The 15,265-nt window shown below is 51.0% G+C and overlaps 1 protein-coding gene across 4 annotated transcripts in view, besides 4 other annotated features; it reads right to left on the bottom strand.

The window, feature by feature from the left end:
• Positions 1–1,712: 1,712 nt before the first annotated feature.
• Positions 1,713–15,265, bottom strand: part of DLGAP3 (DLG associated protein 3) — a 64,215-nt gene continuing 50,662 nt past the window's right edge. For all 4 annotated transcript variants that reach the window (NM_001080418.3, XM_011541879.3, XM_047426631.1 and 1 more), the window contains 4 exons: positions 4,882–5,366; positions 3,813–3,904; positions 3,325–3,468; positions 1,713–2,578 (listed from right to left, as the gene is read on the bottom strand). In NM_001080418.3, coding sequence (NP_001073887.1) covers positions 2,360–2,578; positions 3,325–3,468; positions 3,813–3,904; positions 4,882–5,366 — 940 coding nt within the window. In that variant the 3' untranslated portion in view covers positions 1,713–2,359. The remainder of the gene's footprint in view (positions 2,579–3,324; positions 3,469–3,812; positions 3,905–4,881; positions 5,367–15,265) is intronic.
• Positions 2,202–2,251: a silencer, noted in NCBI's record as "silent region_629". NCBI's record gives its function as "represses an Ori minimal core promoter by ATAC-STARR-seq in GM12878 lymphoblastoid cells {active_cell/tissue: GM12878}" and the evidence as "EXISTENCE:reporter gene assay evidence [ECO:0000049][PMID:35858748]".
• Positions 2,412–2,491: an enhancer, noted in NCBI's record as "active region_718". NCBI's record gives its function as "activates an Ori minimal core promoter by ATAC-STARR-seq in GM12878 lymphoblastoid cells {active_cell/tissue: GM12878}" and the evidence as "EXISTENCE:reporter gene assay evidence [ECO:0000049][PMID:35858748]".
• Positions 2,542–2,641: an enhancer, noted in NCBI's record as "active region_719". NCBI's record gives its function as "activates an Ori minimal core promoter by ATAC-STARR-seq in GM12878 lymphoblastoid cells {active_cell/tissue: GM12878}" and the evidence as "EXISTENCE:reporter gene assay evidence [ECO:0000049][PMID:35858748]".
• Positions 2,692–2,821: an enhancer, noted in NCBI's record as "active region_720". NCBI's record gives its function as "activates an Ori minimal core promoter by ATAC-STARR-seq in GM12878 lymphoblastoid cells {active_cell/tissue: GM12878}" and the evidence as "EXISTENCE:reporter gene assay evidence [ECO:0000049][PMID:35858748]".

The raw sequence follows: 15,265 nt of genomic DNA on the forward strand, positions 1-15,265 counted from the left end.
TTTAAACCTCTCCAAGCCCATTTCCTCATCTGTAAATGGGGGTGAAAACAATATCTGTTTTACAGCATTGCTCTGAGTTCAAACCTCACCCATGCCCCCAATTTTAGAGATGATAAAACAACCTCAGAGAGGTAAACTGACCCAGCCCTTCTACTGGAGACCTTTGGACAGTCATCCAATTTAAGTCTTCCCAAAGCTGGCTGCTCAGAATCTTGTGAAGCACTTGTTAAAACCTTATTCGAGGGCAGAGTCTATTCACTAAGTCTTGGACCAGGCCCAGGAGTCTGTATGGGATCACCTCCAAACGGACTGCTTTTGGGAATTCAGATCACATTAGAGTTCTCCTCACCTTCCAGGCTCATGTGTGTACGTGGACCATCTCTTGCTTTTCCAAAGTTGTCTACCAAACCAGTCTATAAAACGTTCATGCCACTCCTCTGTTCAAAACCCTTCTATGGCTCCCTACAGCCCACAAGACCCAGGCCACCTGCCTCAATGAGACCCAAACACTGATATAATCAAGTCTCTGTGCTCCCAATGTCTCTTCCTCTTCCAAGCCTTTGCACAGCTGTTCCCTGATCTTGGAACATTCTTCCCAGCCCTGGCCCTCCTTCAGCAGCTAATCTCTAATCATCTTTCTGGCACTTACTCCTGTATTTTAACTGCTTGCTTATTTGTCTGTTTTTCCCATATGACCATAAGTTCCATTAAGGGTAGAAACTACATCTTGTTCAGGGCTATTCCTGTGGCGCCCAAAAGTGATAAATGTCTGCTGGATAAATGAATGAGAAGAATTAGCTGACCCAGTGTGGCCCAGAAAAGCAGCCAATCCTGAAGGCTTTTCCTCCTGCCTGGAGGTGACACACCAACCCAAAGGACTGCTCAAGGAGTGGAAAGGGGCTTTCTGGGTGGAGACTGCCATCAGCCCTCTCTGGTCTAAGAAGCCTGCAAAGCTAAAAGCTCATGATTTGGCATTAGACCTGGGTCCACCACATTTAGTCCTGTGACCTCAGACAGGTCTTGTAACCTGCCCTGAGCTTTGGCTTTCTCTTCTATTGTAAGGACCAGCCACATTCATGTAAAGCACTCACCCCTTGCCTGACCCACACTGACCACTCAATAAAGCCATCGATACTAGGTTCTGGTTGCCATTTAGCTTCCCAGGAGAGCTCTGTTCTTTGTACTTCCTCTTCCCCCACCCCAGCCTCCACCAAGGTGGCCACCCATAGGAGGCATCAGAAAATGCGGCAGGACTGAAGATTTTCTGCTGCTGATCAGGAATGACTGGAGCAGAAGGAACATTGTGCCCCTAGGGGAAGGGAAACCAATTATTTGTCAATACCTAACAATAACCACACTCCCGGTTTATTGAGCACATGCTGCGTGCCCGGCGAGCTCCGGACTTCCCTCTCTGGGGGAACCCTGCGGACTGGGAGGCAGAACGGGATACACCGAAATAGGAAGAACGGAGAGCTTGGCACCCTCCCCCTCTTCACCCCACCTGGGCCCCTCCAGGAGGGTCCAGGCCCTTACTGTGGGCATCAGGGGGCCGAATCTCCTTTCCACCAGCTGGCCCATCCCTGGAAGGAGCTCAGGCAACCCCTGCTATCTCCAAACCAAGAGAGTGGGCTCCCGGTCCCTTCTCCCTTCACCCCCGTCCTCCCACACACGGGACGGAGGTGGCCTCTTCTGGAGAGAGCAGCTGGCTCGAGTGCAGTTCTGCCGTTTTATTTTTCCTGGGATATTCAAGGGGATGTGGGAACAGCCACAGGTGTGGTGAGGGGAAGCCCCCATCTCCCCTCCCCAGCCGCTGGGAAAGGGGAGAGGCCCAGGCGCCCTGGTCCTGGGTTGGTCCAGCCACTGTGGTCCCTGGGCCCAGTGGGCAGAGGGCTGAGGATGGAGCCCCTGGGAGGGTGGGGCGGGCTCCTAGGCAGGGTTCGGGATTCTTCATAAAAAGCCACGAAGCTTGATCCCCACGAAGCCCAGCCCCGCGGGGTGGGGGAGGGGGGGACGCAGAGCCCAGATGAGGGACCCGGCCCGGCCTGGCCCGTGGGGGAAAGAATGGCAGAGATGGTGCCCATGGGGAGGAGGTGGGGACAAAGCGTCGGACCAGGTGGGCAGGGGATCCAGGTGAGGGGCGCAGGGCGGAGAGGCACGGCCCCCTGCCCAGCCCGGGCGCCTTCGCGTGGGATCAGGAAGGTAAAAAACCCACGAGAGTGTGACGGGCCCGGGGGCCGGGGCGTCCGGTGCCGGTGGGGCGGGCGCACGGGGCGGCCCGCGTTCACAGTGACCTCGACGCTGGGTGTACAGTACGGGTGGAGAACCGCGGGCCCGGGCCGGGCTGGGCGGGCCGGACCGGTCACAGCCTGGTCTGGGCCTCGGGGATGTAGATCTCGATGCTGTCGGCGCTCTCGGTGGCCGAGCTGTGGCGGAAGGAAGCGGCGCGCTTGGCCGCCAGGAGCCGCTTGCGCGCTTCCTGCCGCTGCCGGTCCACGGAGTCCAGGGAGCGCTCCTTCACCGGCACGCCCCGGCCCCGCAGGGGCTTCTTTGGTATCGGCGGAGGGACCTTCTTCTCCTCCTGCGGGGCAGAGGGCGTCGCTGAGCTGGGGCGCCGAACCATCCCAACACCCAGGTGTCCGCCCCCGCACCCCCGCGCCCAGAGTGCTGACGACCGCGTGGCTCCGAACGCGATGGCGCTCAGAATCCGCCACGGATCCCGTGACCTGAAGCCCCAGGTGCTCCTGTTCCGACAAGGTCAAATCCCCACATTTTCCACCAAAGCGCGGCGCGTTCGAGCGCCCCCTGGTGGCGCCGTTCTCAACAGCTCGCAGCAGAGCCGGTTTTTCACTCCGGGTCCCGACCCGAAGGAGGGAGTTCCCGACCCAGGCTCCGCAATGAGGGTGCACATACCAGGCCTCTGGCCCTCATCGCAGACAAGGTCCAGGGACCTGGCGGCTGAGGGGACCCTCAAGGCTCTGCCGTCGATGCCTAGGCCCGAACTGAGGACAGTCTGTCCTTCCGTAAGGTCTACTTTTGCTCTCTCCAGCTGCAGCCGCCGCCACCCCCCCAACCCCGCTCCCCCGCGCTGAGGAAGCCTTGGGGTTCTGGCAGCTCAAGCAGTGATGAGCACTGGGGCCAAGCAGACGGCAGTGGCCACGAGCGTGGTCACTCTGGAAGGGGATGGTCACCTATCACCTGTCCAAGGCTGCCCTTGCTGCCCATGGATCCCTTCCCCTGCCCCCTTGTTCGTCCCACCCTCCACCTCTCTGGGGAGGGGAATTTCCCAGAGTCTGGCCTCTTTGCCTGAAGGCACCCCAGCCCCACCTTAGGCTCCAGGAGTTTCCAGCTGTTGGCCTTGAGTTGCTGTAGCTCCAGGAACTTGAGGGTCACATCCTCGATGGAGAGCTGTAGGAGGTCCCAGAAACCCGCCAGGTCCTGGAAGGTGGGCACAGGGAACGCAGTGGGATCCTGCAACAGAGGAAGATGGAGGGAAAGTGATTGGTCAAGGAGGTCTGAGCCCCAGCCAGGACAAGAGAAAGTCCTATCCACCCTTACTGCCAGGAAGCTCAGCCTGGGAGAGTGGGTGGGGGCTGGGAGACAGGGGGACAAGAGCGAGCCCAGGACTCCCCTTCTTGTGCACAAACACCTGGTCCTACCTCCAGGCACAAGACTCACAGCTACCCCAGAAGGCATGCAGGCCTGGTCTCACCTCTGGTACACACTCACTCTGGGTCACCTGCCTGTCTCACCTCCAGCACACACACACTCTGGGTCACATGTATCTGGTAGGATCTACTACTATGGGCACTCACCATGCTTTGCTGACACAGCCGGAAGAACTGCTGAACCTTCTGGGACAGGAGAAGTTGTGTGCTGCCCACAGCACTGCGGATCTTCTCCAGGACTAGAAAGCAGAAGGAAATTCAGGGAGGGAAATGATGCATCTCCTTCCCCAGCCTCCACGAAGTCTGCCCTGAATGACGCTGACCCCTCGGTTGCTTGGCACTGTGTATCCATCAGTCTCCTCCAGCCCCAGCCCCATCCCATCCTCAAGTTCCTAACAAGTTCTCGCTCCACTACACCAAGACTGTATCCTCAGACACTGATGTTCCCTCCTTCATACAGCCTACATTTCTTGAGTGCTCATCCTTCTTTATCCTTTCTCCCTCCCGTATCAGAGAACAGACGGAAACCAGCCCCAGCCTAGCCCTATAGCCTTGGCCAGGGCATTAGCTCAATGACCACCCACTGGCTAAGCTTTGTTCATCACTCCCCAGTGCATGCAAGACTCCTTGGCTCTTTAAGAATGACCAAGTAATTTCATGTACATAACACATCTTCATAGCCACTGTCCCCTCAACTCAGAGATTCTGGGGTAAGACTGTGTCTCCCAGTGGATCTGACTTACAGGAAGGGCCATGCTCTCCCTCGGGCCAGGGCCACATCTCCCTGGCTGAATCTCCCTCTTCTGTGCCTCAGACAGGATCTGACATTGTGAACTGCCTCCCTCTCTGTAATCTTGGTCGCACCACCTGGATCCCCACACCAGTCCAGATCTGAACGGAGTTCCCTTAGTCCCCATAAACTTGGTGATTTGGACTAGCAGCCATCCATAGAAGGCCCAGCCCTTTGGCCTGCAGTGTCTGCAGTCCCAGCCCTGGCCTCTAAAGCTGCACCATGTGCACCCTGCTCCCTTTCAAGAGCTCCCAGCATGTCTTGCTGCCGATGTTGACCCGCCACGCTCCAGTGCAGAAGACCAGTGAGGCACCAACCGAAGGGGCCTCCTGTTACACTGCAGCCCCAGCCACCCCCATCAGGGTCTCCTGAGCACACACGAGGCCATGGTCCCCAGAGTCCCCTTGTTCCGATGCCGTGACTCACTCTCCTCGGGTAGCTCATAGTCCTCCGCCTCACGCTCCATCTGCTGGCACCAGTGCTCCAGCTTCTCCACCTCTGCCCGCAGCATCTTGATGAACCACTCGCCGTCGCGTGGGCAGGGGGATGCGCGGCCTGAGTCGGGGAGGCTACGTGAACCGCGCTCTATCCAGGAGTCACGGCGGCCGGCCCCAGGGCCGGGGGTGGGGGCGGGGGCAGGGCCGGGCGACCCATCGGTGGCCGGCGGCTCGTACGGCAGTGGGTAGCCCTCGCGGTAGGCCCACTGGCCCTGCGTGTGGACCGTGCGGAAGACTGAGTAGGTGGGGGCCCGGGGCCCAGGCTGGGGCTCAGAGGCGTGCCTCTGGAAGGAGCGTCCAAACTGCAGGGCCTTGTCTTCTGTGGCCACCGTGGCCAGGCCTGCCAGGCCCTCCAGCTCCAGGTCTGCCTGCACGCCAGCCGTCACACTATTGGAGCGCTTGAACCTTGCTCGCCTGGGGAGAGGGGTGGCTGTCATCCCCCATTGCCCAGGCTCATGCCAGCTCTCACCCCCACCCCAAGCAAAAAAAAGGAAGGGAATGAGAAAGGGAACCTACAAAGTGATGGACATTAACCTATGCACTTTAAATATATTGGTCCTTGCAACAGCTACGTACATAATATACCTACCTATTGCACTGCCTCTAGATAGGGGTGATATCCAAGCTATTTAGCAACCAGTTCAGTCCATGGACAGAGCAGATGCTGGCATATACCAGGCAGAGCAGGCACAGACCAAAATGCTGCAGCAGTGCCCTGGAGAGGCTAGATTGTGGGGTGGGCTAGAGGGGTCAGGGAGGAGCCAGGGTGGTGGCTCTTTACCAGTGAAGGCAGAAGATATTTCAATTTTTTTTTTTTTTTTTTTTTTTTTGGAGATGGAGTTTTGCTCTTGTTGCCCAGGCTGGAGTGCAATGGCGCGATCTCGGCTCACCGCAACCTCCGCCTCCCGGGTTCAAGCGATTCTCCTGCTTCAGCCTCCCGAGTAACTGGGATTACAGGCATGCGCCTTTTGTCTCTTTTTGGAAGAGACAGGGTTTCTCCATGTTGGTCAGGCTGGTCTCGAACTCCCGACCTCAGGTTATCCACCCGCCTTGGCCTCCCAACGTGCTGGGATTACAGGTGTGAGCCACCACGCCTGGCCGAAGTATTTCAATATTTTAACAAATTCTATGTCTATGCTAGTTTACACCAGCTGCACTAGAGTGTCCTCAGCTCTACCTAGAGATGAGTAAACTAAGTAAACCCAGCTTCAAAGTAGCAGAGCCAGGATTTGGACTCAGCGCTGCTGGGCTCCACAGTCCAAGCACTTCCCACTGCACCAGCTGCTAGAACATCACAGGAAGAAATGCCTTGGAGCAGCTGGAGGTGGAGTGGGCCTGCAGCTGGGAGGACTTCTCTAGGGACCCCGATGGCTCAGCCCAGAGCCTGGCCAGACACAGTAAGTCAGTGCCAGTGGAGCTGAATTAAGTTGTTTGCAGGAATGACATAGGGCCTGGAAATTTCTTGTCTTTGAGTTAATAATATGCAAATCTTATGCAAACCAAAAAGTCAACTGGCCGTTTTCATTTTTTCCCTGAATTCAGAGTTCTTTTCTATAAAGAAGTCAGTGGCCGCTTAAGATGCATGAGGTTGGGACCAGGCAATACTTTAAGAAGTGGGAGTCAGGAGATGTGGGAGGTGGGGGATAAACAGAAGATCAAGGTTTGGAAATTCAAGGACCACAAAAGAAAAGCCTGTGTGTCCTGAGCTACCTCCACCCCTACATGGTCAGAAGGGATTGTGGGCCCAGCTCTAGGGTCCCTCCACCTCCCCAAGAGACTCTCCCAACCCCCGCAACTTCAGCCTTTCTCTTGCTGCCCAGGCCTTCTCTCCCTGCCTGCCTGCCTACTTCTCTCCAGCTGGCAGGCTGCCTGCTGGGAGCCTGTTGCCATAGAAACCAGGCCCAGAAGGATGCTGCAGGACCCAGGAAGGAGAGATGCACTCATGTGCAGTCTCCAACGAGCCCTATGTCCCAACCCCCACCCAGAGAGGGAGAAGGAGAGAGAACATATCCTCATTGCCTCCCACACAGTCTTCCCCTCAGTGTCTGCCCTGTCCTGCCCTGGTCAAGGTTTGCATCACCATCTGCCCTGATGATTAGACTGGCCTCCTTTCAGATACCTCTGCCTCCATCAGTACCCTGCAGAGGAAGAGCACGGGGCCAGGAGTTAGCTCTGAGTTCTAATGCTGGCTTTCTCACTGTGTGCCTTTGTCACTCACCCTCCATCTAGGTCATCCAATGTGTATGTGTGTATGTATTTAAAATATATGTATTAGATATAAATATACACACATATACATCTAAAAATACACACATATATACAATTATAGAAATAGATAAGTAATTGCCAAGGTAGTTCCTCTCTCTAAAATTATATTTTGCATATTTTAAGATCTGGGGCCCTCCCCAGTCCACCCAAGACTGGAATAGTCTTCCTAAAGCTGAGCTCTGCCAAGTCATTCCCCTGCTCAAAACCCTTCCACAGCCCCCTACTACCAACAAGACAAAGTTCAGACTTCCTGTACCAGCATTATCTGAGGCCCTGATGTCCTGGACACAGTCCTCCTCTTCAACCTCATCTCCCCCACATTCTCCTTGTTCCTTGAATCGACTATAAGCGATCCTGACTCCAAGCCTTTGCACACGCTACTCCTCTGCCTGAAATGGCCTTCCTCCTCCTGGCTCCTTGTCCATTCCCTCCTTAAGTCCTGTTTTACCTGTTTCACCCTCCACTGCCCACAAGACCACTCCTGAGTACCACACCTCCCTCAGCAGCCCTCCTGGCTTCAGAGGCAGCCCTGCCGTTCAGGCAGATTGTTCTCTTTCTGGTGAGAGTCTTGAATGTCTAGCTGCACTGTTAGGATGCATCTTGACTTACTTTGAATGTTTTTGTGCCTTTGTGCTCTAGTTAGCTTGTGGCTCCTTCAGAGCTACAGCTGTTGCAAACCACAAAGGTAAAGGAGGGGGTTGCTCCAATAAATACGTGCCTGATGATCTGCCACACCTGCGTGCTTTCCTGTCGCCCCTGCTAAACACAGCTGTGTCCTTCGGCACTGCCATGTTCGCTGCCTTCCGCCTGTCCTCTGAGATGTCTTGAGAGGATCCCATTCCATCGCGATGGAAACAGCCATACTGCCGGGAACAGAAGGACCAAGTGCCCCAGGCTGCATGCTTCTCAAGCCACTGCCTCAGTGAGCTCTCTCACATGTCTGCCTCAAAGGAGACCAAGGAAGTCGAGGAGCTGATGGGATGACCAGAAGCACAGTCCTCACCAACGCTCCTGGCCAGCAGCCAGAGATGTGTACAGCACAAGCAGGAGGCGCTTATCCCTGTGCAAGTGGCATTTAAAACCAGCAGTGTGGGACAAGCTCACCCAAGAAAAGAACAACGGATCCAAGATCCAAACCCCGGGAGAACACGGACATTTCAGGGGTGGGTGGAGACGGTGCAGCTCATAGAGGAGACTAAGCCAGAAAGGAAGGGGGAGAAAACCACCAGAAAGTGACATAAAAGCAGAGAGGGGACAGAAAGGTCTCATGAAGGAATGGGCAGCTAACATGGAAAACGCAGCCGGTTAAGAATGAAAGGTGCCCACGGATTTTGCAATCTGGAAGCCACGGGTGATCCAAGCAAGAGTGGGTTTGGTGGAATGTGGGGGCAGATGCAGACTGCAGCAGGTTGTCAGGAGGTGGAGAAAACTAGTCAAGGCAACCCTCAGAAAGCCTGGCTGAGAAGGGAGGAAGACAGAAGAGAATGTACTGTTAAAGAGGGATATTTTGTTTTGGGTGCTTCTTGCTTGCTGTATCCCAAGAGGAAAGAACCTGTGGTGTAGGCAGAATAATAGCCACCAAAGGAATCCACATCCTCATCCCCAGAACCCAGGAATATGTTACCTTCCACGGCAAAAAGGAATTTGCAGATGCGATTAAGTTAAGGATACTAAGAAGAGGAGACTCTCCTGGATTATCCTGGTGTAATCACATTTTATAAATGAAAGAGGGAGGAAGAAGAGTCAGAGAAGAAAATGGAATGACAGAATCAAGGTTGGAATAATGCAACCTAGGGACTCAACCCACCACTGCTGGCTCTGAAGATAGAAGCAAGCTGCAAGTGAAGGAATGCAGATAGCCTCTATAAACTGGGAAAAGGTGACAAATGGATTCTTCCCAGAGCCTCCCAGAGCCCAGTTTGAAACCCCATTGAGACTCTGACCCCAGATAATAAATATGTATTGTTTTCCATCACTGAATTTGTGATAATGTTTCAGCAGGAATACAACATTAACACAACCTGTAAAGAGAAATGAAATGAAGAGAGAGAAGAGAGGAGGAACCAGATATAAGGATGGATAAAAAAGAATAACATCTTCTAAGCACTTAGTATGTGCCAGGAGAAGCACTTTCCATGAATAAACATGCTCAATCCTCACAAACAGTCCCACTCTATGGATGTTAGTGTCAGCCCTACTTGTAGATCAGAAAACCGAGGCTTAGTGGGGTTGACTCCTAAGATGAAGGCAGGGCTGGTGGAAGAGACAAGGGAAGATATCTAAGTAAGCTGGGGTTTGGCTTGGAAGTGGACAGAAGTCCCACCAGTTGACCCCAATCATCACAATGAAGTGGGCGATGGGGGGTGGTTATCTGCTGGAGATGTCTGGGGAGTAGGGGAAGGAATGAAAATGAGCAGCTTTGGGTGGGGGCAGCGGAACAGAGCGGTTAGGCCCGTGTGCTCTGGAGCCTTGCCCGGGTCCAAAACCCAGCTCGGTGGCTTGTGCCTCATTTTCCCATCTGTAAATGAGAATGATAATAGTAGCAGTTCATAAGATTGTTGTGAGATAATATCCATAAAGAACTCAGAACAGCACCCTGCCTGCCCATTGTGTTAGCTATTCTAGAGAAGTAGAATGGTTTGCAGCTCTCACTGAAAAGAGAGGGAGCTGGACAAACACAATCATCGGAATGTAGCACTGAGAACCCGGCTAGGGCATTGTAGTTATTAATTATTATGATTGCTGTTGATCATTTCCATCTGTTCTCCCACAGCGCTTTGAACAAAACTCTTTTATACTCCATATCACATTGTATCATGGCTGGTTATTTGCATAAGTGTCTCCTCACTAAATAGGGCAGTTCATCACACTGGTTGGTTGGTTGGTTGGTTGGTTGGTTGGTTGGTTGGAAGGAAGGATGGTAGAGACCACTAACTGTCTTCCAAGATCCACTCTCCATTTCCCCCTTAGTAACAGAACCCCACCATTTTATGCTGGACACATGGCTACTTTGAATAAAGATTCTTTCCCAATCTCCCTACCAACTAAATGTAGCCATGTGCCTAAGTTCTAGCCCATGAGATAAAAGTAGAAGTGGCATGTGCAACTTCCAGAAAGTGTCCTTAAAAGGAGGGGGTATGCCCTTCCTTGTCTCTTCCTCCTTCCCGATCACCAGAATGCAGACATGATGGCTGGACCTCAAGCAGCCATTCTGGAACATGAGACCAAAGGGAAGTGCTAAGTGGGGTGGGGGATGAGGAAAAGATAGAAGGCTCCAGGTCCTGACACTGTGGGGCATCTACCAGACCTCAACTAACTCTCCCTGGATTTCCTCTAAGTAAGAGAGAAATAAACTTCTATCATATTTAAATCACTGTTGTTTGGGGGGTTTTCTATAACTCACAGTCAAACCCACTCCTAACTATAACAGATGAATTTTTAGAATAGTGAAGTTAAGGGCTTATGTCGCTATTTAGTTTTGGATTTGGCAGTATTTGCTGTGGTCTCCACCAACAGCTGTCAGCACAGGATAAAAACTGGCTTCAGCTGTGAATTGTCATTAATGCGTAACAATGCATTCACAATATTTTCTCCCAAGCCTTTAAATGTGGCTGCAGAAGCCTCCTCCCTTTGAGTGCTCCAAGGTGACAATGATTACATTCCTGATGATAATGCAAGTTGTTATCATGGTTACTTCAGGGAGAGTTTCCACTGCGATTCTACTTCAGGGAGAGTTTCTACTGTGATTCTCTGGGGGATAACATAAAAGCCTCTGGGTAGAAGCTGGATTATCCCAAGAGACACAGTATCCAAGGAAAGCTCTATATCCAGAAGTTGTCAAGAGGTTTTGCCAGGAGTATTTGGCAGCAGGCAGGAAGGGTGGGAGGGGGAGTGGGCAGGGAGGGGGAAGGACGGTGTCATTTCAACTAGGCATAGCCTTCAAACTAGCTTCTATAGAAGCTCCTGTGTGAAGGCATCTAAGAGCCTAAACATATAATCAAGCAGGGGTCACTGAACCCACCACTCCAGCCTGGGGGCTGTGACAGGGATGCCAAGGTGGGGCTAGGGTGGGAGATTCAGGAGGAGTCATGAGGGTCAGTCAGAAACCGTCCTAAATTTGCAGGCTCAGGAATGGAGGTAGCATCTGTGCCCAGGGCTTTGGGCAGTCAGCTTCTTATTGCTTTTGCAGGACTGTTCTTGGAATATAACTTAATGGGTATGGAAGCTTCTTTCCCAGGCCTCAAGGGGCCATTCTTTCAGCACATACCCTTCCCAAACTCCCAAAGCTAGAAATGACCATAATGTTAAGGAAAGGGTAGGCAGGTCTTCCTCCACAGAGTTCTCCAGGTGGCCCTTCGTGGGCACAAGCAGGTATGAGTAGGGTTGTCAGATAAAATATAGGACTCCCAGTTGAATTTGAATTTCAGATAAATAACAGATGTTTTTACTATGAGTATGTCCCAAATATTGCATGTGACATACTAAAATGCATTCATTATTTATCTGATCATCAAATTTAACTGGGCATCCTGGTGGTTTTTGTTTCTTTATTTTGGTGGGTTTTGCTGTTGATGTTGTTGGTTTTGTTTTTGCTAAATTTACAATTTAAGATAAGGTCTGTCTGGGAGGAATTAGAGGTGGAAGATACAGGCAGATCCCTATGGTTAGAAAGAGTTGGAGGCAAAAATCCCATTTTCTATGACTTCAGAGGGCCCCTTGCTAATATTCAGCAAGACATCTGATGCATCCTTTTATCATGGCCCAGAGTGTGCTGGGTCTAGGGAAACAGGTGCCATAAGGACATGTTGAGACACGGCTGGTAACTGATTAAGTATGTTCTCTCTCACCACAAGGCCTTAGCATATGCTATTCCTTCTGCCTGGAACCTTATCTCCCATTTTTCACTCAGTTAATTTTTGTTCATCCTTCGGATCTCCACCCAAATGTCACTTCCCAGGGAAGCCATGCCTGACCCCTCTGGCAGACTCAAAGCCCCATAGTCTACACTGTCATGGCTCACATGCCGCTCCTTTGTGGCAGCCGGCACAGCGGCTACATCATTAATGAGATTCTTAGATTAACTTCGTGGTAAGCTTTGCATGGGCAGGAGCTGTCTCTGGTTCTGCTCACCTTTGCATCCTCAGTGCCCAGCACAGTGTTTGGCAAATAATACAGATCCAATAAATATCTGTGGACAGATGAATCTTGGCGGGGGGGTGGGGGTGTGCAGTGGAGATAGAACTGAAGGGGTGCCAGCCCCCTCCCCTTATATTCTAAGCCAAGTCATCACTGACACTGGGCAACTGGAAGGACTCACAGACAATTCCCAGACAGAAGGGACAATAAGTCCAAAATCCTCACCCAAGAGGTGAGCAGGGAACACCCTGAAAGGCAGAAGAGAAGAGACCTTTCCTGCTCAGCAATTTTTAAAACCAAATTACAGAGAGAGAAACAGATACTGGGATGAGCGAGACAGCAGTAAGGACAAGAGAGTCAAAGAAAATGGGGCTGGGCTGTGTGTGGCGGGCCAGGCCTGAATGCTGGCCAGGCGAGGCTGCTGGAATTCATGGCTCGCTTTTATGCACCAGTTGGGGCATGGTGTGTGAGGAGTCAGACTTAAAGTGCCAGGGACATAAGGGACAGAAAGGACTGTGCAGGTGTATGACTAAGGACGCCTGCAGCAGACAGGCCAGGGAGCCTGGCCAAAGAGATGGGCCAGATTTCCCCTCTCCCCACCTGTCACTCCCTCTGAATTCCCAGTGTGATCACCTGTCCCAGGCAGTTTGGTTCTTTCGATGCTTATTCAACACCATGTCCTCTCCTCAGCCCGCCACATCAAGACCTCACCAAGCACTTACACAAGAGCAAGGAAGGCCACGTTCTCTGCCTGTCCCTGCCCTTCCCTGACTTTCACTCCAAAATGCTGCTCAAATTGGCCCACTTCTCTCTGTATCCACTGCTATCAGCCTTACCCAGACCACTGATCAATAGAGTAGACTGAATTAACTTAGGAAGCTCCCACTCACACCCTAAACGCATAGAAATGCTGGGTTTTTAAAAATCAAAAAGGTGTTTTTGCTACAATGCTGGGTTTGAAAATAGGAATGAGAAATGTCCAGGTATCAGAAACAGGAAGGAAATTCAAAGAACATATAGTGAGAGGGGGTCTAAGCCAAGTGAACCACAGGGAGATCAGACCAGACATATGCTAGAGGCTGGATGAAAACGCTGAGGGAGGATGAGAGGAGAGACCCCAAACCTGCGCAGCAAGGGGAGCTGGAAAGAGACCCTGTGCGCAAAGTCGGCAGCCAAGAAGGTCTGTTTCATTTGCAAACTTGGACTCAAAACGCTCATGCCAGGGATGCAGGAATGTGGCCTGGAAGGAGGATGCTGGGAAATCGGAACATGAAGGCTTCCTTGTGTGGAGGTGTGGGGTTCAAATGAGTATTACCTGTGAAACACAAGAAACCTCAAGCCTCAAAGGGAGATATTAACTTTAAAACTTCAAGCAGTGCTTCAGCATGAAGGAAACTGAACCAGGAGAAAGAAGAGGGCAGTAAAAAACAATAGTGAACACACAAATTACGGAAACACGTATGTAAATCTAAACTGTTAAAGCATAAAAGATACAACAGCAGCTGATTTCACAGAGACTTTTTAAGAGGTATAATCAAACTACTAGATAAACATAACATGGAAGATGGGAGGAGAAACTTAAGAAGGAAATTAAAGTGTTCCAAGATTCTTGTTTTGTGCCTAAGAAGGACAGAAGTACTGACTAATGTTAGACGTTATTAGGAAAATATGAAATTAAGTATATCTGTCAAATGTTTAAGGGAAATCACTACTAAAATGTAAACTTCCAAACCAGTGGAGTGAAGAAGAGAAAGTAAACTCTATTTACTGTTGATCAGTTCAACATAAGATAAAAAGAAAGGGAGAAAGCAAAGAAAAAGCATGTCAACTAGAAAATTTTTAAACAGATGATAGAAATAAACTCAAGTCAGTAATGAAAAATATATACATGGATTAAATATGTCTAAACTCTAGCTATAAATCGCTTATAAGCAACACATATAGGCCAGGCACCGTGGCTCACTCCTGTAATCCCAACACTTTGGGAGGCTGAGCCGGGTGGATCACCTAAGGTCAGGAGTTCGCGACCAGCCTGGCCAACATGGCGAAACCCTGTCTCTCCTAAAAATACAAAAAAATTAGCCAGGTGTGGTGGCACATGCCTGTAAACCCAGCTACCCAGGTAGCTGAGGCAGAAGAATTACTAGAACCCAGGAAGCGAGGTTGCAGTGAGCTGAGATCACGCCAATGCACTCCAGCCTGGGTGACAGAGCAAGACTCATCTCAAAAAAATAAAAATAAAAATAAAAAAATAAGCAACACATCTAAAACATAAGGATATAGGAAGGTTGAAAATAAAAGGATGGAAAAAGATGTATTGGAAAATTAACCAAAAGCAAGCAGCCATAGCAATAAAAATCAGGTAAAAAAGACTTCAAGGCAAAAGCCATTAGTAAGGATGAAAAGCAGCCTATTTAATATTAAAAGAGCCAAGCCACCAAGAAGATACAACAATCATAAGCTTGAATGCTTATAAACAGCACACTCTCAAACTGAAGTAAAAATCAACAAAGTTACCAGGGAAAATGACATATCCACAATCATGGTGAGACATTTTTAACACACCTCTCAGAACTGATAGATCAAATGTACAAAAAAAAGATAAACATTTGAAAAATATAATTTATAAATTTGACCATATATGACAGCCGTCCCCAACCTTTTTGGCACCAGGGACTAGTTTTGTGGAAGACAATTTTTCCAGAAGCTGGGTGGGCGCAGTGGCTCACGCCTGTAATCCCAGCACTTTGGGAGGCCGAGGCGGGCGGATCACGAGGTCAGAAGATGGAGACCATCCTGGCTAACATGGTGAAATCCCGTCTCTACTAAAAATACAAAAAAAATTAGCCGGGCATGGTAGCAGGCACCTGTAGTCCCAGCTACTTGGGAGGCTGAGGCAGGAGAATGGC

This window comes from Homo sapiens, chromosome 1, assembly GCF_000001405.40.
Source record: "Homo sapiens chromosome 1, GRCh38.p14 Primary Assembly".
Lineage (NCBI taxonomy): Eukaryota > Metazoa > Chordata > Mammalia > Primates > Hominidae > Homo > Homo sapiens.